The 24,516-nt window shown below is 41.3% G+C and overlaps 1 protein-coding gene and 1 long non-coding RNA gene across 5 annotated transcripts in view; one reads left to right on the plus strand and one right to left on the minus strand.

The window, feature by feature from the left end:
• The window catches only part of ARHGAP6 (Rho GTPase activating protein 6), a 528,377-nt gene that overhangs the window by 278,434 nt on the left and 225,427 nt on the right, over window positions 1–24,516 (minus strand). Inside the window, exon 1 of one of the 4 annotated variants that reach the window (NM_001287242.2) lies at window positions 11,571–11,841. The exons of the other annotated variants lie outside the window; for them this stretch is intronic. Within the exon in view, the coding sequence (NP_001274171.1) occupies window positions 11,571–11,618 (48 nt within the window). The 5' untranslated portion in view covers window positions 11,619–11,841. Of the gene's footprint in view, window positions 1–11,570; window positions 11,842–24,516 lie in introns of those variants that run through there. 4 annotated transcript variants of the gene reach the window in all.
• On the plus strand, window positions 1,238–17,913 carry LOC124905246 (uncharacterized). The gene is made up of 2 exons (XR_007068392.1): window positions 1,238–10,658; window positions 17,020–17,913. It is a non-coding gene; the product is annotated as an uncharacterized LOC124905246 (long non-coding RNA).

Genomic DNA, 24,516 nt, shown 5'->3' on the forward strand with positions numbered 1-24,516 from the left:
ATAGCTAACTGATACAAACACACTTCTACATTTTAGACAACACAGCTATAAGGTAAAGTACGATTTTGTGTGTCTATGTGCATATATGTATGCATGCTAGGAGTTCTATATTTCATTCCTTTCTAATGACGCCTTAAATAAAAATGTGCCCTCCCCCACCTGCGGCAGCACAGAAATATCATGGAAGGCCTCATTCTCAAACCAAGTTTCCTCTTAGACTCACTACATGAGCCTTTGATCCTTTACAGATGTTTGCAATGGGTGATACAAAGTATCTGCGTGGTAATGGTGACATTACCTGTCTAATTTTAATGCAATTAAATTGCATTAAAAGCAAGAGTTGGGCTCAGTATGACTACATTTAAAAAATGTTCTTCCTTTCTAATAAATATCAAGTCATAATCATATGGTAAAACTGAAATATGTGAAGTATCTAGTAAGTTTGCCTATGTTTGCAGAATCAGACAGCATCAGCAGTTTGGACACCTTTTTTAAAATAGTGAGCACCAAATAAATGCAGGAAGTCTTTCTAACTGTGTCCCGATGATAAGGTTTCACTCTTCAGCAATCCTGAATAAAAACAGCTATTAAGGATTTTTTGAACCAGTTCATCATGATAAGGTTCAAACCTTTCCCCAAGAGAGGTCTACGAACGGCCACTCCCTTTGAAATGGATGAATAAAAATGCATGTGTGCCATGAATGCCAAGGTTTACGTAACTGTTGTGCTGCCCAGAGCCCAGCTCGGTCATGGCTACCTCAAATCCATGCAGGACTCGTGTTTATCCTTGTTCGTAAATACTTTTGGAAAACCCTGACAAGGGCAGAGTGCCAGCTCTCATGTACCTTTTCCAGGCTGCTGCAAGTTCAGTCACGCGGTTGTCGGTCCAGAAATGGATGTGCCGTTAGAACAGCCATGCAAAGAGGGAGTGTGCCGCATTTACGCAGGAGATAAACTCTGCCGTGTTTCAATCAAAAGCAGTTTGCTAGTGAAAACACAGGTGTTGGAATTATAAAATTACCACAACCCTCAAACCCTCAACTAAAAATAACAAACAGGATGTTCTTTATATGGGTGTGTACATATATATATATATATATATATATATATATATATATATATATATATACACATACATATATATGCATTGCTGACAACAAGGACACACCAAAATCCTCTCTGATCTCCCTATCAATTCACCATACTTTCTTCTGTTATGTTTATGGATGCTTTGGGTGTAAATAATCAATGGAGACAGGAATGTTTCCACCGTGCAGCAAGAACAGGAGGAAGAATTTAAAATGTGTCATCTTATGGAGACAGTTCAGTGGTAGCCCAGATTCAGGATGAGGGCAGGAGTAGGGTGGATGTGAATACAAAGGGGTAGCATGGGGGGAGTGCTTTTGCGGTGATGGACCAGCTGTGTATTTTGAATGCGGTAGTGGATATGCCAGTCTGTACAGGTAATAAAATTGCACAGAACTGCACGCATATATACATACATAAAAGAATGCATGTAAAAACCTGGTAAAATGAGAATCTGTAGTCTAGTTAATAGGATTGTCCCAATGTCAGCTTCATGGTTTTGATATTGTGTAAATAAGATGCTACCATTGAGAGAAGCTAGATAAGGGGTACATGGGACCTCTCAGTACTATTTTTGCAAGTTCTTATAAGTCTTCAATTATTACAAAATGAAAGGCTTTAAAAAGTATTACCTCAAAGGTATCACCTTAAGCCAATGGCATGTCAACAATCACCCACTGCACAGTGATTCAAGCATGCAGACTTGGCAATCAAATTAAGAGACAAGGATTTGAGTCCCAGCCCCACTACGTACTAGCTGTGTGGCCCTGAAACAGACATAAGGTCAGAGCTTTGGTTTCCTCATCTTTTAAATGAGGATAATAGGACCTATCTCACAGGGTTATTTTAAGGATTAAGTGAGATAATATATGTAGAATAAGCAGGACTCATAGAGAGCATTCAATAAATATTGGCTATTATTATTACTCTAAGTCAGACTAAATATTTCTGAGAGCTTTAAATCACTGATTAATTTCATTGACACTCAAGTACATACTAAGCATCAGGCACATGCTATAAATGGCCAAGCATTGAGTCACACACAATATAGTCCCTGGTTCTGGTCTGCGTCCTTTTGGATTTTCTGGTTCTGTTGTGAATATGGTCTCCAAAGAAGCAGGATGAATATTTATGAAAGTGGGTGCACAGAAGACTCAAGGAGGAACTAACTTAAGAATAAGAGGTACTTTCTGCAGTCCAGGTTGAAATGAGAGTTTTCTCTCTGCTAAAATTTACTGGGGTACAGGGCGGTTTAACTGCAATACTTAGCTGCAACCATTCCTTGACCAGCAGAGATAAATGAAAATTGCCTTTCAGTCAAGCACAGGTTAGACCATTTGTGTTGATGTGCAATTTTAAGAGTTAAAACCCTTTACCCATCAACCAGAAAAAAAGCCAAACCAAATCTTCCTTTTTCTTTGTTTGGCAAGGAAATTACATTAGACTATCCTAATGGGCTTAGAGGGAAAAAAAATCTAATTGTAGTCTATATTAATACATTTACATATTTTGAATTATATTAATAAATACTAATAAATTTAGACCAGGGCACTTTAAAGTAATGAACTTTCCAATATTAGATTAATGACAAAATATACGTAGAATATATCACTCTCTACTAAATGCTTTAATAGGTTTGTGATATAAAAATCCTTAAAAGCAAGCACACCACGTATGGATGGAGCTGGCATAGCACCTGAGTACTTTAAATGTGGTAGTCAAAATAATCTACAGTGTGGAAGAAAGAGACATTTGAAGCAATTTGGGAGACTTCTATATACTTAGGAATTTAAGGTCTTTCATAAATGTAAGCAAACCCCAAACAAGACTGAAAATGCTTGTAATGATATTTTATGTTTGTCAACACCGACCCCCCCTCCCGCCAGCCCTCAACAAAAATAGGAAATAAAATGTTCTGCCCTTCTCTGTGCTGGTCTCACTGGATTGGCTGGGCTTGGGCCCAGAAGGAGATGGAGAACAGGGAGACCAAGAAGTCAGAGTATTTACTGTTCCAGTCTATCCCTGCTTCTCTGTATTTTGCCCTTGCTGGAGTCTTCTCTGGACACATTGCCAGGGTCCCTTCCAGCCAAGGCTGCAAGTCAGTGGGCTCTGGTAACGCTGGTCCCTCCCTGGTAACAGCTTCTCAGTGTTGCTAATTGCTGGGTGCTTCACCACTCACCGTTGGTTCCTTTAAACCTGTCAACACATTGGCGTAGTTCATTCCTCAAATTAAGCCTTTTGAGTGATTTATCTGTTTCCTGTTTGGATCCTGATCGACACAAAGCCCTTGACTGTGAATCAGTAGCTAATGTGGGAGGATGCCTTAACTTTTGAGATAAAAGTTAAGACCGTGTTTTGCATTTTGCTCAGACCATCGAAATGGCATCTTAACATGAATGGAACTGTTGAAAGTCATGTGCATAGATACCCACAGAAATAATACTATGTGTTATGTTACCATTTTCAAATCATTCTAGCAAACTCAATGTTCCATACCCTTGCTAATCTATTATTCATCTGTGGGTCTAATTAACATGGCATCACCAAGCTAGGAACCTAGAGCAATGTCCAGGGATTTGTGCCCATGTGGAGAGGCACCCACCTGGCACAGAGATGCTTGGCAAATATGGAGCCCACGTGCTCCACAAAGTGCTGAGATGCTTTTAGCCTCTGTATTGCACTTGGACTGGCTTATACATTTCTTTACCAGATATTTCAGTCAACTGCAGAAAGGGGTCATTCAAAAATATGTTAAAAGTTTATTCATCTAAACTACTTCTGTTGCTGTTGCCATGGCAACTTTTCTCTAAAGCCACAACTCCAAATTCTTCTAAAATTGTTATTTCAGAAATCTAATTTAGCTGACATCCCAAACACTCAAATTTTACTATAAGATTTTTTTTTATGTTAGAAAAGTTCTAAGAAAATGACAAGTATCCGAAGAGAAGAGGAGAACAAGCCTGACAGGTTTTCATTTGAAAGAGTCATGGCATCTTTCAAGGAAATTGGAAGTGGAAGAGTCTTCAGTAACAGTAACTGTATTTGAATGAAAAAATTTGGCTTATATTTTGTATATGTTTCTTGTATTGAAAAGTATCCCATATTCACATCCAAGTAGTCACCACAAAGATAGTGAAAGCAGTACCACATAATGACTGGTGGGAGTCCTTGTTGCATCACTGGATCTACCTTTACGTTTTTAAGTATTCAGGGTATATTTAAGAATAAAATAAATCAGAAAAATTGGTCTTTTGAAAATAAGGTTAGAATGAGAAAACCTGAGAACAGAAAGTACATTAAAAGATATTAAATTAATTAATTGTGTTTGTAAACAGTGGTCTCAGTCCAAAATGTGGCAAGCACCCAAGACCGTTAAATCTATCCCCACCCTCCCCATCATCTCGTAACTCACAATCTAAAACAGACCATGCTAATGGACATGCAGTGACATGGCCAGGAGTTAAGAACGGGCTCTGCAATTCAATGGGAGAACAGGTAGGCCACAAACCCGCCTGCCACCCTGGGCTGCTCAGGAGATTTTGAACCCTGATGTGATTGAGAGAGAAACGCTGGGAGCCACTGTTTCCCTCCCTCTTTCCTTTGGCTTTTCTTTCAGCAACTCTTCCCTTTTCCCCAGAGCAGGCCGGTCTGTGTCATTATCCTCAAGGAGTAGGGACAGAAGCAGGCACTCTAGTTTCTCACTTTCATACAGATGCAGATCCCACATCCACACACCAAGGCTGCTGAGCACTCCACACATCCTCATTTGGAGATTATAACTTCTAATTTTAGGCCCACGATTAACACATTTGTTAAACGGGTATTCTGGCTAAATCAGAAGAGAGGTGGCAAATTAGGCAAGGCTGTTAGACGGTCATAAAGGAAGAAGTTAGCTAATGTCTGACATGAGAGAGAAGACAGTAAACATTTTTTTAACCCAAGATTAGGAAGGGCTTTGGCATTGAGGAGTGAAGAAACAAAAAGCCCAAGATGCTGAGGCTTCTGGAAGGACCACCAACACCCTCTCCAGAGTAATCCCCACACAGTATGAAACACACTGTTCATAACTGTGACTCACAGCCAGGGAAGCTCACTCACATTTTCTCACCTCTATCTCTGAAAACCCAAGAAACTACGAATAATGTATTTTAGAAAGTGCCATACAAAATTGTTCTCAAAAACATTTAAGATTTTGATATCTACTGAGATACAATTAAGTCAGGGTTTCTCTGTCTCAGCACTATTGACATTTGAGGCTGGACAACTCCTTGTTGGGTTGTGTTGTGCTTTGTAGGATGTTCAGCAACATGTCAGGTCTCTACTTAATAGATGCCTGTGGCAACCCCTGCCAGTTATGATAACCAAAAGTGCCTCCAGACATTGCCCAGGGTCCTCTGGTTCAGAACCACTGGTCGATTTTACCTAGAATATGGATACCGAGGGACATATTGCCAGATGACATTATATAGAGGAAGTATTCCTATACCTTTTGTATCATTAGAGAGTTTGGCTGAAATGAACACTGGGTGGTAAAACAAAGGACTGCTCTGAAAACTTGTACTAGATTACCTCAGAGTCAGCTGAGGTGAAGTATTGTATTGCACTTTCTGAATCTACTTTGCTGCTGAATCCTACATTTTGTAGGGGCTGCTTGAGTAGTAAGTGGTTCACCGTGTAAATTAATCAGTGTTTGCCAAACCCAGCTGATATTGGAACCACCCCCAAAGCTTTTTCAAAGGATTGATTCCAAGTCTGGTCCTTAGAGATTCTCGTTTAGTAAGAATTCAGTGAAACTGGAAAGCTAATTTTTAGTCTCGTCTCTCCCTCTGACCTCAATCATCAACTAATAAAGGGTTAAGTTTGGAAAGTCCTAGCGTAACCTAGGGAAAAATACACAGGCAGCCAGATTCATGTTCTCATAAATATTTATTGTATGCCTACCCTGTGCCAGGACCTGCTCTAAGGCAGTGGAAAGACAGTGGGAAAGGATCATTGGGTCCTTGCCCTGAATAAACTTACACACTAGTCAGAGGAGACAGACAAACAATGAATATATAATATAATACCAAGTGGTGATGTGAACAATGAGGGAAGTGGCTAGTGTGATATGATCCAGGGTAACTGAGTGGGCTCAGAAACACTTCAGAGAAAGCAGTCAGGAAAGGCGACATTTTTCCTGCAATTTGAAGGATGTAAAAAAAAAAAGCCTATCACACAGAGGACATTCCAGGCAGAAGGGACAGCAAGTACAAAGGCTTGGGGCAGAAAAGAACTGGTCGCATTTGAGGAACAGAAAGGGCACAGATGTGGCCAGGCAATGATAAGCTTGTGGAGTGGGGTGTGGTATGAGGCAGAGAAGACCATGTAAGGAGCACTTGGAAGGTCAAGGTCATGGATGAAGCTATTATTCTAAGTGGAATGGAAACCAACCAAAGAGCTTAAGCACTGAAATGTCACTATTTCATTACCTTTTAAAAAGATTGCACTGGCCATAGGGACAGCCAACCACTCACTGAGATGGGAAAGTCTGAGAATGAAACAGGTGACAGGGAAGTGAGGAATCAAGAACCCAATGAAGACTTTGTATGACTGGACAATAATTTCACAACCAAGTTGAGAGTCATGTGTGTGTGGTCCAGGGTTATCACAATGTGGGAACAGGAAAAGTAAATAATAAAAGTTCATCACCAGAAAGGACTAGGCAAAGGGTGGTAATTGTTTTCAAATGATTGGCAGAGATGTCTGCTATGCAACATCCAACAGGAATCTGATTTTTTATCAATTAGTAGTGGTACTTAATGAGTGGTTTGAAGGAGGGGAGATGTAGCTTCCTAAGATGATGGGGCTTCCACACCAAAGAGGCCTCATCCAGGAAAATTTCTGCATGCAGCAGAAAAGTAAGCATGCCAGGTTGGGGGTGGGAGTAGAAAAGGTATCTACAATTAGTAGAGGTGTCAATTAAGAGGATTCAATAATCTCTCACATATTTGTAAGTTGAAAAAATTTTGCTTTTATGAGGAGACAAATGACAACCAGAGTAATATAAAAATGGTTTTATAAAAGTAAGTTCTGGGCCATGCCACAGGTCAGTATAAGTTCTGCTGAGTTTCCTAAGATGTCTACACTGTTAGCACCGATGGATGATAACTGATTCATATCAGCATAGGCCTGCAACGGCGCCCAGTTCTGGGCATCTTCAGAATTACCAGAGAGTATCCTGTATTCAATACCACTCAATTATTAAGCAAACTTAATGACTTCAAAGTCTTTGAAAATTGAATGTTCATAGAGAACAAACGTGGAAACTTTCATAGTTTCCATTCTATGTGAAAACAGGTTCTCTGTCAGGGTAAGCAGCTTGGCACTTCTGGTGAGTTCCTTAGGAAGGGGTTAACTGGAGCAAGGGCAGAGTCAGCATCTGATTACAAGGCTGTGGTCAAAAGCACAGATGGTGCAGTGACCACACCAAACAGGAAGTGACATCAGCAGCAGAGGAGCTCAGACTAGACCAGTACAAGGAAGGAGAATGAGCAGCTTAGGACCTCAAAAACTAGGTCTCAACTACTAGATTCATGAAGTCATTCAACACATTTCTACTGAGCACCTACTGTGCTTCCAGCACTCTGCTAGGTGTCCAGGTGACAGCAGGGACAAGACACACATAGTACTACTCCCAGCAAGTTTTCAACCTGCCAGCGAGAGAGAAATGAATGATGTCAGTCCAGGGATTCCTGATGGTGACTGTATAATGGACACTGATTTGCTTTTCTCTGCCCCACTTGAGGGTAAAGACAGGTTGGGGCACCAGGAGAGAAGAGCTTGAGCCTCCTAAGGTCCCCAGTAAGTCACAAGGCCAAGCTTTTAATCCAGATTTTTTTTAGTGTCTTTCAGAAAGACATAAAGATATTGCATTGAACTTAATGGATACTTAAATTTTTAGTTTTTGTCTACACTAGTCAAATTTAAAAGCTATTTGGCCATGCAATTTGACAATACAGATAGTCACATTAAGTCACTGAAGGTCCAACATTTGGTTGTTGGTTTATTACTGTGGCAAAGTGGATCGCAGAGGGATGATTAGGTTCGACTATCCTCATTGTCTAAATGACTCAGAAGAGCACTGCAGGATCAGGGCACCTGGATAAAGCTCTCAGTTCTGTCAGCAGCGACACATGTGCTGCCTTGAATTCTACTGTTCTGAGCTTAGATTTCTTCAATCAGGAAACAGAAAACCTGCATAAGGCAGCAATTGGATTTCAGACTGAAATTGACCTAGACTGTGTTCAAATATTTTGCAATCTGTATAAGACAGTAACAAGGAGGGAAATATCATTATGACTATTTGCTTATTATATAAACTTCAAGAGCTTCTCTAGAAATGCTGCCAGAAAATCATTGATTCATTCATGTCATCCTCATCCTTCATACTCTATCACCTCTTTATCCCATCCAAACTAAGTCTGACAGGTTCTATGTTCTAAGCATCTCTCCAATATGCCAACTGCTCTCAACCTCCTACCCAGCTGCCACCCTAGCATCAGTCATCTTCTCGAATCTCTCCCAGGCCCAAATACCAGGATGCACTCTAGCTCCTCCTCATCCTCACTCCATACTGGGATCATTTCAAAATGTAAATCTGATTCAGTCACCAAAAGGCATCAAGGACAACACCCAGCTGGAAGGACGGAGTCACCATAATCTGAACGTGGGAAAACTGTAGGAGGAAATTTTTTGAGGAGAACATTAGCTGCTAACACACATTATTTTCTGTGTGTGATGATAAAGCAAGAAGACAGTTGTATTATACTTTGAAAATGTCTGTTTATGTAAATGGAGGATGTTCTTGTCTAGTTAATTGCATTTTGCTCTCTGTGACCATTATGACCATTTAAAAAGATGAGTGAGATGTCCATAGCAACTCCTAACATTTTCACTATCTAACTGTCTCTTTGGAAAATTGACCAAATACCTGGAACACAACAGGCATTCAACAAATGTTTATTGAATGAATCAAATGTGAGCCACTGACCTCTTATATGCAGTCTCACCTTGGACAAACGAAAAAGCACTGAAGGAAGAGCATTACATACTTATCCCCGAATTATATTTCAGAGGAGGCAGGAGGTATTAAGGACACATGGAGGGTCATTCATGTCAAGGAAGACAGACCCAAAAAAAACCCAAGATCACAGGAAAATGCACAGTGGGACAAAACCCTGTTGAGCAAAGTAAGTGGAATATTTGTGCTAAACGGCAAAACAAGCTCTGGAATTATCAAAACCCAAATGAGGGAAGTAAACAAAAGTGCAGCGTTAGAATAGATATTATACCACCAAGGGTTATACTAATATGAAAAACAATGGGTCGCACTTAATAAAGAACATTCTCTGGACACGTGACTGATTCAGAGCTGCTGCTTTCTCATCCTAAAGTATGCATAGGAAACTTCAGAGAGCCCGGGTGACTTATTCCAACCTGGAATCCCAACAAATTCCCTCTGGAATCTTCCTTTTTATAGTCTTAAACCAGAATATACATACATGATAATCTGTACTAGAATAAAGGGCTATTTCATCAGCAGTCTTCAGAGCCCCAAGAGGGGACATTAGCATCGGCTTGACTCTTCAGTTTATGATTTTAGAAGAATCAGACAGCCTAATTAAATGACAATTTTAAAATATTTTTGTAATATATTTACATAATTGAGGCAATAACCATTCATTGAATGAATAGATTTTTTTAAAATTAAGGAGCCCGTTCTCACCTTTCCTCCCCCACCCGCACTCTTGCAAATGGCAAAGACCTCAGATCATGAATCAAAGGGTACCAGCACACAGTTCAAAAAGGTGGTGGGGTGGAGATGTTGAATGGGCACAATGAGCACAGACTCTACTTCCTTCAGTGTAAAGCAACCTCTGTTGAAAAGTGGTTACCCTTTAAACTACTTTAAAAGGCAAATCACTGAGCCACCGGTGTCTCCAAGACAGATGAACGAGCATTAGTAACTTACAAGTATCTCATTTGGTGTTTCAAGACAAGTAACTATAGAAAAACCAGAGAAAGAGCTGTTACAGGTTCCTGGAACGTTTGCCTGGGAAGGTATCTTAACAATTTCCTAATTCAGGTCTTCATTTTTCCAGTGGAGGAAAGCGAAGTGTACGAGGTGTGCAATTTGCCCAATGGCCCTGCAATTAATCCAGGAGCCCCGAGGTGACACCAGGAACCAACTGGAGCAGCTCCGGGATGCCTGAGTCCACCACCCCTGTCCACCTCTACTCCTTTCTTCAAAAAAACAATTTTTTTTTTTTTTATGTTGGGGACTGGATTTTGGAAGACACGAATTCCAGACAGTTAACTGTCTTTGCCTGATTATAAATATTAATGATTCTTGTCAACTCTCTGCCTGCTTCTCTCCAATTTTTAAAGTTGGCAGTCAGAACGTCCAGTCTCAACAGTGCAAATCAATTCAAGGAAAACTCAGTAAATTAGCAGATGACAGAACAACTGCAGTGTCTCATCTCAAAACGACACATCTCACACGTGGAAAATCAATGTCTGAAGACTGGAATAAGGTAAACCTTCTCCCTGCCCCCTTCCTGGAGGGGGCATTTGAAATCTTCAGAAGTAGTAGTCATTCCTCAGAAACAACTTTCCTTTTTTCCTTCTTTCCTTTCTTTTCTCTCTCTCAAAGAATATACTCATCTAGTATCTGGATTTGGTCGGTCGTTAACCTTAAAATCTTGACTCCTTCTTCAAAGAAGGCAAATCCCATGAGCTTTCTCTCTGTTGTGTTTCCTGCAGTACCTGCAGCACCTAGCGCAGTCCCTGGCACACAGTAGGTCCCCAGTAAATCTTTGTATCAACAGGGAGAACAGAAGCCACCATAAGGGAGGGGGAAGGTACGACAGAAGAGCCCCTGGTATTCTCTTGTATTAGCGTGCAACATTAATGATAATGTGCAACATTCTGTCCCGCCACAAAGTAGGAGGGAAATGCACTCCCTTTCTAAGGAGTGAAACGGCTGCACCCCAACGCTCCCGGCAGCATTTCTTCAGCAAATCCACTCGCCGCACACTGAGATCATGAAGCGGCCCTGCCTCCTGTCCAGTCTTATTCTCGTCCTTTCAACATATCTGACTGAAGGCTGAATGAGCGACCTAGGCCTAACCCCAGGAACCCCATTTGTCAGCCTTTGTCAGCGAGGTGGTGGCGGAGTCCAGCCCCGTCCCAGATGCAGTGACCACAGCGTTGGGGCAAAGAAACACTGAATTCAGGGTTGGGGCTCCCCTGTACCTTCTAAAAGATTTCGGGAAGCGCCACTGAGTTAGTGAGCAGGTGGCACTTCGGGGTGACGTACCCGGCCACCCGCCACCCCCTCAGCCGTGGACCTGTGGGGAGCCCCGACTACCATCGCCCCTCGCAGTCCCCACCCGGAGCGGCCCAGTGGCGCCCCCTGTGTCCTCTGCACGCGTCAGGACACTCACCGCGTAGTGCAGCTGGGGCTTCTCGCCGCGGTACACCGGGTGCCCCATGTCGCCTCCGGGAGGAGTGGCGCGCCTTGGGCTCAGCCTGGGGTCACGGTGTCTCTCTGAGTTCCCCGCACTTCACTGCCATCCTGGGGCAGCCCCTGGGCGCGAGCCCTGCTCCGTGCGTGCCGAGTGCTGTGCAAAGCGCCCCTGGCACAGCGTCCCGCTGCCGCTGCGGAGCCGGTGGGGACCTGGAGAAGGCAGCGGCGCGAAGGGGGAGGGGGAAGAGGAGGAGGAGGAGGAGGAGGAGGAGGAGGAGGAGGAGGAGGAGGAGGGAGCGGCCGAGTCTGATGCGATGGGCGGGCGTTTAATTCCTTCCGCTCCTGGCGGGTCCCTCCGGCGGCCGCCGCCGCTGACAGCTGTTGGGGGCTGCGGAGGCCGAACGCGCCCACGACAGGTGTCAGGCTGGCCGGCACGCCTGCCTCCTGCCACCCCACCCTCCCCGGACCCGTGGGACCCCGGCTGCTGAGGCGGGGACTGCCAAAGCCTTTAATGCCAGCGAGAAGGCGAACTTGGGTTTCCAAGAAAGAGAGACTTTCACTAACTTTGAAGGAGGTGTGGGCCTGACAGTGGAAGGAGATTCAGAGCCTTCTCCTGGGAGGGCAGAGTTTCCCTTTCTAGAAAGCCTTCTTCTGTGAGAGTCTCAAATTGTGGGGACCCTTGGGGAGGGCAGGACTGAGAGGAACCAAGTCATGCTACCCAGGAGAACTGCTGCGGGGACAAGGCTGCCCAGGATGCTGGTCACTTAGGGTGACCCGAGTTCCAGGGGGGCTTGCAGGGCACATTCTGTAGGTTCACAATAACCCTTAAAACTGGCCTCTGCTCTGAAATCCCCTCATGGAAACCTGCACTTTAAAACACCTTGGAGAAGATCAGCGAGTTCCCTCCACAGCCTTGTCCTTCTGTAATTTACGTCCAGCCTCCCACAAGTTGAGCCCAGAGGAAGGCCAGGCCTGGGGCCAGAGTAGAGACTCCAGACTCATGAATCAATCAATGCAAGCCCCAGAGGGGTGGCTACAAAGTGGAAGATGTGCTTGGGGGTAGCTTGTGCCAGTTTGTCAGGGTCCCACTGTACTGAACCGGCTGAATGACTCTCCACTTGCTCTGTGTAAGAGGAGAGGGGAGGAGAGGGGAGGAAAGTTGGATGTGGCCCCGGAATTTCAGCCCTTACAATTTAGTTGAATGAACCATCCACTGGCATGTAATATTTTAAAACAATCACAGCATAATTATAATTAGCAGTGGGAATGTGAAGCCAGGGGTGCAAGTGGCCTGAGGAATCTACCATTAGATAGTCCCATGACAGTTTATCCACCTGGAAAACTGGATGGTTATATCTGCTAAAGTCAATCATAGGCCTACCTTCCAATCCAGCAAATTCCACCCCTAGATATACAGAGTACAATAATCTCATCATATACCAGAATGCTCATACTGTGTTGAGGCATAATTGCCCCAAATAAAAGCGATCCAAATGTACACCAACTGATGCATGACAAACCAACTGTAGTCTGTGCACATGATGGAATACTATTCAGCAATAAAAAGGAAAATGCTACTGATGCACAGAACAAATGGATTAATCTCACAAACATTATGTTGGGAGAAAGAAATCAGACACAAGTGTACATACTGTAAGATTTCACTTATTTATTCTGCAACTGAAATTCAAATGTTTAAGTGCAATAGGCAAATGGAATCCATGGTAATAGGTGTCATAACAGTGGTTACCAAAGTGGGAAGGTGGTATTGACTAGGAAGGTGGTACAAGGGAACCTTCTAGGGTGCTGGAAATGATCTATATCTTGATCTGTATGGCAGCTACTAGAGTACACCCATATGTAAACATTCACTGTGCAGTACAGTTCAGACTAGTGTAATTTACACCCTTCACTACATGTATTTTATACTGCAAAAATAAAAAATAAAAATAAAAATAAATTTAAAATCAATCCCTTGCCAAACCCAGGAACTTCCAAACAGTGTTGCCTGTCTTATGAGAAAGTCAATTGAACTATTTGCCCAAGTCTTTCATTCTCCCACAGCCTGATCTACCCAAGTCTCCTTTCTTCTGCTTTGTAGGAGAAATGAGCATGCCCATTGACCTTGGAGGCCTTCCTTGCTCTGTGACATGTCCAGGCAGAGCTCGAAAAATGACACACTAAAGTTCCCTCTTTACTCTCACTCTGTTCTGCTGCTAAAAGCAACCTTTAGAGCAAAGTCATCAAAGATCCTCAGAATAAGACAGAGAACCAGCTTGAGCTTCACCATCTGGCATCTTTCAGAGAATTGCAGCCAGGGCAGCCTGATGGGGGCACGTGTGTACAGATGTAATTCAATGGCCTAGACAAGCCCCAGTTTAGGGACTTTCACTTCACTGTGGTCTATTCATAAAGGTGAACACTCCAGCCTTAGGACTTTTTCTTCCATCACGCTTGCCTTTAAGCCCCTGAAGCTAAAAATCCCTTTCCCTACAAATACTATTTAATTATGAATATATTTAAACAACACAAGGTGGATCCCTGGGTCTTAAAACCTTAACCATAGCCTTTTGATCATTACCCCTGAGTAAGTCACCTCTTAAAACTGGGTCATCCTGGATTTGGTTTGTATTCTTTCTTTCAAAAATGTAGTAAGTCACTAAATGACATTCTTGTAAGCCAAAAATACTCCATCAGCCCCACACTGTGTACTTACATTTTAGGAATGACTTCTGCCTTCTAGCATTATTTATTGCTAAAGTGTCATAGCTAAGTTGGAGTAAAATGTTCAAGTGCAATAGGATTGTTTTTTCTCTGTGTTTGAAGAGTTTGTGAGATTGGGCAAAGCACCTAAAGAAATGATCAGTTCATGCTGCAAGACTCTTAAATCACCTTGGAATGAATCATCCACCTCCTTCAATTCTTAGTCCAATTGTGTAAGGCTCAAAGCTCCAGAAAGGATCTAGAAGATCATGCAGAACTCTAAGAAGTCTGTTCAATCTTAAACAATTTGAATTTCACACATTATTCATTATTTCATTTAAATATATTTCAGGGTATATTTAAAACACCACTCTAATCAAAATTTCTTATTTGCATATCTCTACTTCCAAGTATCCTTCCCATGTTATTTGTTCACTTGGTCATTATTCAACAAATATTATTTTAAATTTTAAATTTTAATTTGTATAAATGTATGGGGTAACAGTGTAATTTCATTACATGGATAGATTGTGTGGTGATGAAGTCAGGGCTTTTAGGGTATCCATCACCAGAAGAATGTACATTGTGCCCATTAAGTAATTCACCATCATCCACCCCACTGCCCTTCTGAGTGTCCATTGTCTATCATTCCACACTTTATAAATATTTTTAAGTGCATACTATGCACAGGTATTGTTCTAGGTCAACTAAACTGTATATTGACATGGCATGTGGTTTTAAAATGCACATTTGATCCTTTGGGGTAATGGAGAGAGATAAAAAGGCAGCAAGAAGCACATAAAACCTCACTTCAGAGGAGGCTGAAGTTCATCCAATTTGTTGGTTAAGAGCCTGCTAGGCTAATGTTCTTTTTTGTTTGTTTTTCTTTTTTAAAAAATAATAAATTTATCTGATGTTTATCATTCACCCCAGAGAGGACTTAAAAATAATCTGTATGAGTTACTCTACTAGCATCACCTTTAAGAGAAAACGTGCCCTGCTAACTGTGGAATTTCCATGTCTTCCTGTCCCTAAACATTACAGCATTTCCAGAACTGAATGCTGCCCTTTCTGCCAGAGCATTTAAATTAAAATACTTGTTTGCATTTATTCTGCCTGCCTATAGGCTGAGTTAAAATTTTCCACAGTTAATGCCAATGCAAGGGTGATTACTTTTTTCAGAAAAACTTTACCCAAATCTGTGGAAGCAAATTCAACTTCAGAGTGTAGGAAGAGCTGAGGGCCCATCTGAGTACTAAAAATCACTTCAGATGGCAGGACAGGCCCTTCTTGAAGGCCCAGCCCCACCATTGTTAACAGAGTTACTATGAGACCCTCTAAGATGGGGAATCCCCTCCCCCAAACCCAGTGCCCACACTATGCCATCCTATTGTCCTGTTAATCTAGCCCCTGGAGTATTTTTAACATTTTGAAATGGAAAAATCAATAGCATATAATGTGCAGCTTAATGAATTGTTACAAAACATTCACCTGTCTAACCTTCACTGAGGTCAAAAATTAAAATATTGCTAGTACCCTAGACCCCCATGTCCCTTGGCTGTATTTCCCTCCTCCATCCCAGTGGTAGACACTGTCATGACTTCACTTCTTCACTTCCCTTTTACAGCAGGGTTTCTCAACCCCAGCACTCTTGACATTTGGGAACCAATCATTCTTTATGGTAGAGGCTGGACATTGCAGAATGTTTTGCATCATCCCCAGCCTCTACCCACTACATGCCAGTATTATTCCCCCTACGCCAATTGTGGCAACCAAAGATGACTCTAGATATTGCAGATGTCCCCCAGGGAGTGGGGAAAGGCATAATCACCCCTGGTTGAAATCCACTGCCTTTTAGGAAGTCAGGCATCCATAAATATTAGAGCTTAGTGTTGCCTGTTTCCTAACTTTATGTAAACAGATTCATAAGTATGTTTTTATTATAGCTGACTTCTTTTGCTCAACATTCCGTTTCTGAGGTTCATCCATGTTTGCTGTATGTAGCTGTTGTTTGTTCATTCCAATTGCTGTCTAGTACTCCATTATATGTGTTTATTACTATTTATCTTTGTAACTGTTGATGGACATTTATGTCCTTTTCAATCTTGGACCACTGAAAACCACACTGCTTGAACATCATTATACATATCTCCTTGTGCATATGTGCATGCATTTTTATAGGGTCCAAACCCAGGAATATAATTGCTGGGTCATAGGCATGCATATCTTCAACTTTACTAGACAATGCCTAACAGTTTTCCAAACTGTATTAATTAGAATCTTTATTTACACTATTGTATAAACAGACTGAACACAGTTTATATGAAGACTGAACACAGTTTAGAGTTGTCTCTTTTTTAAGTCTTTTTCATGGGGCTACAAAGATGAAATTAAGGAAATCAAACTCCAGGATCAGAAAGGAGAGCTGGAGTAGCAGCTTAAGGCCCTCCTTGGCTGAAATCATGTGTCTCCTGTAAGTGAAGGACCTACCAGCCCTGCTAAGGCCCTGGCATTGGCAGTGATAAGGCCGACTTCACCCACACGCACAGACAGGAGCAATGGATACACTGAATGTGCTTTTGAGGGAGGACATCTCATTAGGCAGAATTTCAGCAAAGTGGGGGTAAAATCTCAGCCTGATAACTGTAAACATATATGCCATTTCAGGAATTATCATTTTACTCTATAGCCATAATTTCTTCCCACCCTCTTAACCCTTCCAGGGATATGGAGATAGAAGAAATCTAAGGAAGAATGAAGGTTCTCATTCCTTTTTCCAGGTAAGTTTAAGGAGACAACCCCCAGCCTGAAGACAGCTGGGCTGAAGACCAGTGAAGGAGGAATTCCTGCAGCTGGAGCTGCAGTCACATAGGAGAGATGGAGAAGAGAGAGGAGAACATCCTGGCACAGCATAGTACCATTGTCTTTGGCCTCAAACCCTAGTACAAAGAATATCATAAAGTTATGCATCAATTGGAGTCGAGAATATGATAATCCGAGAATTCAGGGAAAGAAAACAAGTGAGGAAGGGTGAGGAAATAAATGACCATTACAGTAGGTTCTATTTGGTATTATTGGTTTATCTTGTTTTTTGCCGTTTTGATATTTTCACTGAAGAATTTCTACTCCATGCCACAGAGCCAGGGAGGGTATCCTTAAAAAGTGCCTAAAAAGAGACATTTCTAATATATATGTTCTATTCAAGGGTCATTAGGCAAAAAGGAGAGGCCGCAATTTCTCCAGCTACGACTTTCCAAATAACCATTTGGGAATTAAGAAATGATTTTTCATTTATATCCATAATCTAATGTTAGTCTATTGCCTTCATTCCTCTGATCATAATCTCCTTTCTTCTGCACAGTTGCACAGTGTTTCAGTTGTCTAAAGCCTGCAGAATTCCCATGACAACGCCAACACCGCAGGTGCTAGAATTATTGTTTGAAATGGTAACAATTCCACTATTCATTAAGCACCTACATCACAGGCTCAACTAGATGCTTTGCAAACATCTGGATCCTCAGAACAACTGGGAAGGAAAGTATGACTATCTTAATTTTATTTATGAGGTTAATTAACCTGTTTTGCATACCTAATAAATGGTGGAGTTGAGATGTAAATGGTAGTTGACCCCAATCTCTTTGCAGGTCATTCCAGTATGTTTCAAGGTGGAGATTCTTTTTGACAAATCAGGCCCATTCATTAGATTGCTGGTGTCCCATCCACACCTCCTAGGCCAGTGATTCTCAACAGGGGAAATTTTGCCACTGAGGAGAAACTTGGCAATATCTGAAGCTATCTTTGGCTGCCACAACTGCAGGGGAAGGGTGTCACTTGCATCCAGTGGGTGGAGACCAGAGATGCTGCTAAACATCCTGCACTGCACAGGACGGCCTTCACAACAAAGAAAGTTCTGGTCCCAAATGTCTAGAGTGCCAAGGCGGAGAAATCTTTCACAGACATAAGGAATTCATCCTTTAATAATTTCCACTTAGCAGTACCTCTCACACCAACAACACATTTTCTTTCAGTGAAGTAGGTCTTGCACCACCCAAGAAAACAAAGAGAAAGTTCTCCAGAGCAGAAGAGTAGAGCTGAGCCCTGGGTCTCCACCCATCGTTGAAGACCCATACACAAGTGGGTCTCCACGCAACACTGTGTGTTGTTAAAAGGCTAACAGACTGGGTAAAAATTGGCCATCTGTGTGATCAAAACTGACCACTCTGGAGTTCTTTGGAGTGCTTGACTAGTCACCCCCCTAAAAAAACCACTTTTATAACCTCAAGAAACCCCTGGCTTCAGAGGCTCAGGAGTAGGATGAATGATGACACCTGGCATTACTCTGGTGCCTGCAGGTTTCAAAGCAATTTTGCATATATTGGTTTCCCTCCCCTCCCCCCGCCAACTAATCTATCTTGTGATAATGATAGGGAGCAGAACATATAAGGCAAATGTTAAGAATTCGTTGTCAGGAGTGTAATAAAATGAGGAGAATAAAACAGAATGTCCTTCTCCTGCCAAGTCACTTAAACTGTCTGTATCCCATTAATCCAGCAAATAGAGAGGATGAGCCAGGGAGTTCCAGATCCCCCAGGAATGCTTGGTACATAAAGGTCAAGAACCAACAGTTTAGCAGGGCCTTCTTTGCCTTGCTGTGCAGTAAGAACCAACCGAAGAAAACTGCTCCAAGCCTAATTTCTTGATTATTTTCTTTGGGGACCATGCCTTATGAAGGTGGTTCTCAGCCAGGGGCAGATTTGCCCCTTAGGGTGCATTTGACAATATCTGGAGGCATATCTGGTTGCTGTAACTTGGAGGGAGGGGGAGATGCTACTGGTATCTACTAGGTAGAGGCCAGATATGCTGCTCAACTTCCTACAATGCACAGGACAGCCTCCCACACACAAGGCAAAGAATGATCTGGTCCCAAATGTCAATAGTACCAAGGTTAAGAAACCCTACTTTATGGTTAAAATTGTTATGGTCAAAATAATTCTAATAAATCAGAATCTAAGCATCAGACTGGGACTTTTTTCATTATTTCAACTTTAGTTGTCTTCCTTCATGTCCTTGCACACAGCACAGATGAAAAGATATTACCTGGAAAGATAATAAGATTTCTTCTCCCTTTCAGTGGAATACAGAACAAGAGGAAGAGGGACCAGAAGGAAATGGCTAGTCAGTGTTTTTGAAGGTATGGTCTTCAGGACCATGGGCATCAGCATCACTTGGGTGGGTTTTTAAAAATAGATTTTGAGGACCTCCCCAGAGCCTACTTGCACAATTCCTTGCAGCACCACACCATTGACATTTTTAGTGAGATTCTTTGGTTGTTATCCCGTGCAACACAGTTTGAAAGCCACTGATGTAGTGGTAGTATGATGCAGAAACTGAAACTCATAAAGGCCGGGTGATTTGTCCAACGTCATGCAGATAGCATGAGACAAAGTCAGAAGCCATCCTGAGCTCTGGATTTAATGTTAAAAGAAGGTGGAAAATAGTCCTAAGTGTATGACTAACAAGCAAGGATTAGATCCATTCATAGCTACAGAAGAAGAAATGACCATAACATTTGGCCCAGTTCAGCACAACCCAGAGCCTGCTAAGTAACTTGCTACATTTTCCTGTGGTTTTGTCAAGTTTTCTCCCCATTGTCTTCATGACTAAGAATAAAAAGAATGCTACACGTGATTTCTTTTAAAGCTCTTAAGATAATTGATTTCCATCCAATTTTATTTTTCAGAAGCACAAAATTTTTTCTCACATTAACATGTCAAGAAATGACAAATGTATACATAAACTACACAAATCATTAGTCCTCTTGATTTTCCAAAGGGAAAACCCATGCAGAGTCTATCGAAAAGCCTTCTTACCCAGAAAATAATTTGTTTTCTCTTATCTTAGCAAAATAAACTTAGCCACTTGTTCCCTGTTGTTGATGGGAAAGTCTGAGATTTGGAACAAAAGAAAGCTGTTTTGTACATTATAACAGATAATATGACAACCTCAAAGCTATCAGTTTGCATTTCTGTAAGTCCCATTTTTGCAGTGGAATGATTGAAAGAACAGAAGATATTCAGTCTTTGAAAGTTGAAGGAGGACATAAAGATGATGAATAATTTGAGGGGATGTCATACATAAGAAAGTCTTGTCCATATTTCTTCAGAAAGCTGGATAAGTACCAAGTGTGGAAGTTAAGGAGACTCAGATTTTGTCTGAATATAAGAAAGAACTTTCTGTATCTGACTTAGCAATTCTACTCCTAGGTATATAGCCAAGAGAAATGAAAACATATGTCCACAAAAACTTGTATACATATGTTTATGGTAGAATTATTCATAATGGCCAAAAGGTACAAACAAACCAAATTTCCATCAACTGATGAATGAATAAACAAAATATGATCTATCCATACAATGAAAGATTACTTGGCCATTAAAAGGAATGAAATACTGATAAAACGTAGATGAACCTCGAAAATTGTAAGCTAATTGAAAGAAGTCAGTCACAAAAGACCACATATTATATTATTTCATTTATACAAAATGTCAAGAATAAGCAAATCCACAGAGTAGATGTCGGGTTGCCTAGGACTGCAGAGCTTGGGGGTTGAGGAGTTGAGGGGGGGATAGCTAAAGGGTACAGTGTTTCTTTACAGGGTGATGAAAATGTTCTGAAATTTATGTTAATAGTGGTTACCCAACTTTGAATATGTTAAAGACCAAGGAATTGTTCACTTTAAATGAATGACTTGTATGGCATGTGAATTTTACCTCCATAAAGTAGAAGGAAGGAAATAAGGAAGGAAGAAAGGGAGGGAGGGAGAAAGGGAAAGAGGAAGGAAGGACTGACTTTATAACAAATCTAGATGGAAGGCAACAGTCCCAGGAGGTGGTAGTATCTTCTTCCCTGGCCATATGTAAGCTGAACCTAGATTACCATCAGCCAGAGAGGCTGCACTATGTGGGCAGTCTCACTATACGCCCTTCAAACTCTAAAATGTAACAGTCACTGTTTCAATATTTTATCCTTTTTCTGTTTCCCTAACTGCAACATGAGTAGTGCAAAGCTGGCTTCTATCAATTCATTCAGTCCATTCTTTCATTCAATATTTCATTGCTGACTTAAGGTAAAGCCTTACGATATTTCTCTGTCTTAATAATATATGTGCTTGTTGCTTTAGGTAGAGTTCCTCAGAAGCAGATACTAAGATAAAGACTGATGTGCAATTGATTTATTAAGAACCTGTTCCCAGGAGAAACTGGTAAGGGGTGAGCATAACAGGGTAGGGAAGGGAATAAAGCCAAGTAAGGGTGTGATTTCTAGCAAAGTCCCAGTCTCAGTCTGGTCCTGAGGGAAGCTCTGGGGTATTAATTACATCTAAACTTTGTCCCGCCTTCGCCAAAGAATTTGGACTTTAATATTTTCACACACATCAGTCAGTCATGGGCTGTGGGACGCCCCGCCCCCAGGGTGATGTAAACTCCCAGGCACTTCCTGCTCTTTGTGAATATAGGGCAACTGCTCCAGAACCCCACAGAGTGCTCACAGATGTTGGTCATTAGAAGCAAAACTACACAGAAGCTGGTGAATGGGACAGGCACACAGAACTGGTAAAAGATCTGAGATATTCCGGGCAGAGCACAGACAGAGTCCACTGTGCTTTTTGGTTGAATACATGTTAAGCTCTAAAGGCTATGTATGACCTTGTTCCTACGTCCAGAGGTCTTGAACAGGGTAGAAGCTTGCAACCTCCAGATTTCCACCTGGGTGAGGTATGAGTCGGTCTTTTCGTACTCCTCCTTACTGATAAATGCTTTGACTGACATCTTTGCCTACATTCGATCTGTTTCATTTCATACACCGAAAATCTTCTGAAATGGGTAATCTGCCCACAAGCACCACAGGGAATTCCTCAACAGCTTTAGCATCCGTAATATTACTCCAAAATAGCATTGCTGTTCTGCCTCTTACTTTAAGGTTGGGCAGATGCCAAAAGCTGCAAACCCATGGAACCATCCATGACCGGGTACACTTACCAGATTTGTTTCCTTCTCTTAAATTAACACAAATAGGCCTACGATGCTAATTCCGGAGCCACGTTCAAATTTCACTGTTTCATCAATCATTTCGTGAGCTCATTAGTTGATTAACACTTTTTTGGTGGTGATTAAATTAGTGTACATGCACACTCATGTGATCGTGTAATCACTTAAAACACAGCCAGGCACATAGAAGCTCTGTATCAATGTTTGCTATTATTACACAAGTACAGAGCTTCTCTCAGGTTGTATGATGGGATCTTTGTCCTCAAAATCATTCTTCCTGCCAAAGGGCTTACAACAGTTTTTCTGACCTATTTCAATTAAAAAGAAATTGTTTCTATCTTGCCTTTACTTCTACTACTTCTTACTAGCACTTTCTTCTTTCAAGTCCTCTGAGGTTATCACATAAGATGGGGTTCCTGGCAAAATTCCTCAACACCTAGCAGAAAGACAGCAAATATTCCATAGACTGAAAAATGAGAAATTCTTTTTAAAAAGGGCAGAAAATAAAAGAGGTCCCAGAACCTCTTGACGCATATTTTGGTGGTGAAGAGAGAGCCAGAGGGCTTTGCTCCAGAGTATGGTTTTGTTTGTATCTCTGAAAGTGCACGAGTTGAAATTCCATAAATAGAGGAGCTTCTGTACCACTTTCTATTGCTAATATTTTCTTTTCCTCTGACGTCTGTCCTCAGCATTTCAGTTCATGGTGAGTGCTTAATAAATGCATGATGACAACAGATGTTAGAAAGTGTTACGAGAGCACAGAGCATTCTAGAAAAACCTAGGAAAACACCAGTGGGGGAAAACATCATTATTTAATAAATTTATGAAAACTTTAAAAGGAAAGCATGTTGCTTTTCAACCAAGGACTTTCTAACAGAACAAACCTGTGGGGAGATAATTGTCTCAGATCTAGCACAGGGTGAGTAAAATTGTTTTTACATTTTTAAGTGGTTGGAAAAAATTAAAGGAATAACATTTTATGAAATGAAAATTACATGAAATACAAATTTCAACATCCATAAATAAAGTCTTCTTGGAACATAGTCACACCCATTCGTTTACTTACTTGTCTATGACTGCTTTCTCACTACACCAGCAGAGGTGAGCAGTTGCCAGAGACCAACTGCATGTTCACTAAACCTAAAATATCTGGCCTTTTGCAGAAAATGTTCACCCACCCCTGATTTAGAAAACTAAAATTGCAATTTGTTTCCTTTGAATCTTTTTCTACTTTTGGCTTTCATCTTTTCCCTCCTGGAGTTTTATAAGCCCAAAAGAAAAAAAAATTATCTTCCATATATTCATCTCTATTAACATAGTGATTATTTTGTTTCATTTATAGTCTGGAAACAGGCAACTTACCAAAGAGAAACCAGACTGCTTAGATCAAGAGGACTTCCAAATTGGATGCTACTGCTTTATGTATCTGAGCTTTTAAAGACACATTTGTATTATTTCTAGAAGCCTTAGGTAAATGTATTTGGGATTCATTTTGTCTGTAGAAAGCACCTGCAGCCCCATTTCTTCTAGAACAATATAAATTGTAACTAAAAACAATGTTCCCTTGTTGCATTTGTATTTACTATTCTCAAACCATTTGACAAAGTATTTCCCTCTCACTAATTAGTGTTTCCTAAGTGTTATTGGAAGCCACTCGCTTGCCTTGCAAGTTTAATCCTACATTTGGACACATGCTTGTTAATTGGTTTCCCTCCAAAGTTGAATGGGGCTTGCACCCATCTGTCCTGGATTCAATTACACCAAATGCCACATGCTCTGAGATCAGAAAAGCAAAGGATTCTAAAACATCCATGTCTATATTTGGCCCTTGACATCCTATTATTCTTCCTTGTCTTAAAAACCCTAGGCCACTCACAGGAAGTGAACTCGAATTGTTATTTTTATGGCATAAACTTTTCAACAGGCTGTAACTTCTATGTCACGTCATACTATATAGATAAATATGTGTGTACATAAAATTTTTAAAAATCCAACCCATTGTTTTGCACTTACTACAGTACACATAGCATCCTCTCCACACTTTGAACATTCCAAAATGCAGCCATCCTTCTACTCAATTTCTTGCCAGAGGAGATGCCCACTGAAATTCTAGGTCACACATTGAATGTGATTCCTTTGTTTTCAAGGAGAAATTTCCCTCCACCTATAATGCTC

The sequence above is a fragment of the Homo sapiens genome, chromosome X (assembly GCF_000001405.40).
Source record: "Homo sapiens chromosome X, GRCh38.p14 Primary Assembly".
Taxonomy (NCBI): Eukaryota; Metazoa; Chordata; class Mammalia; order Primates; family Hominidae; genus Homo; species Homo sapiens.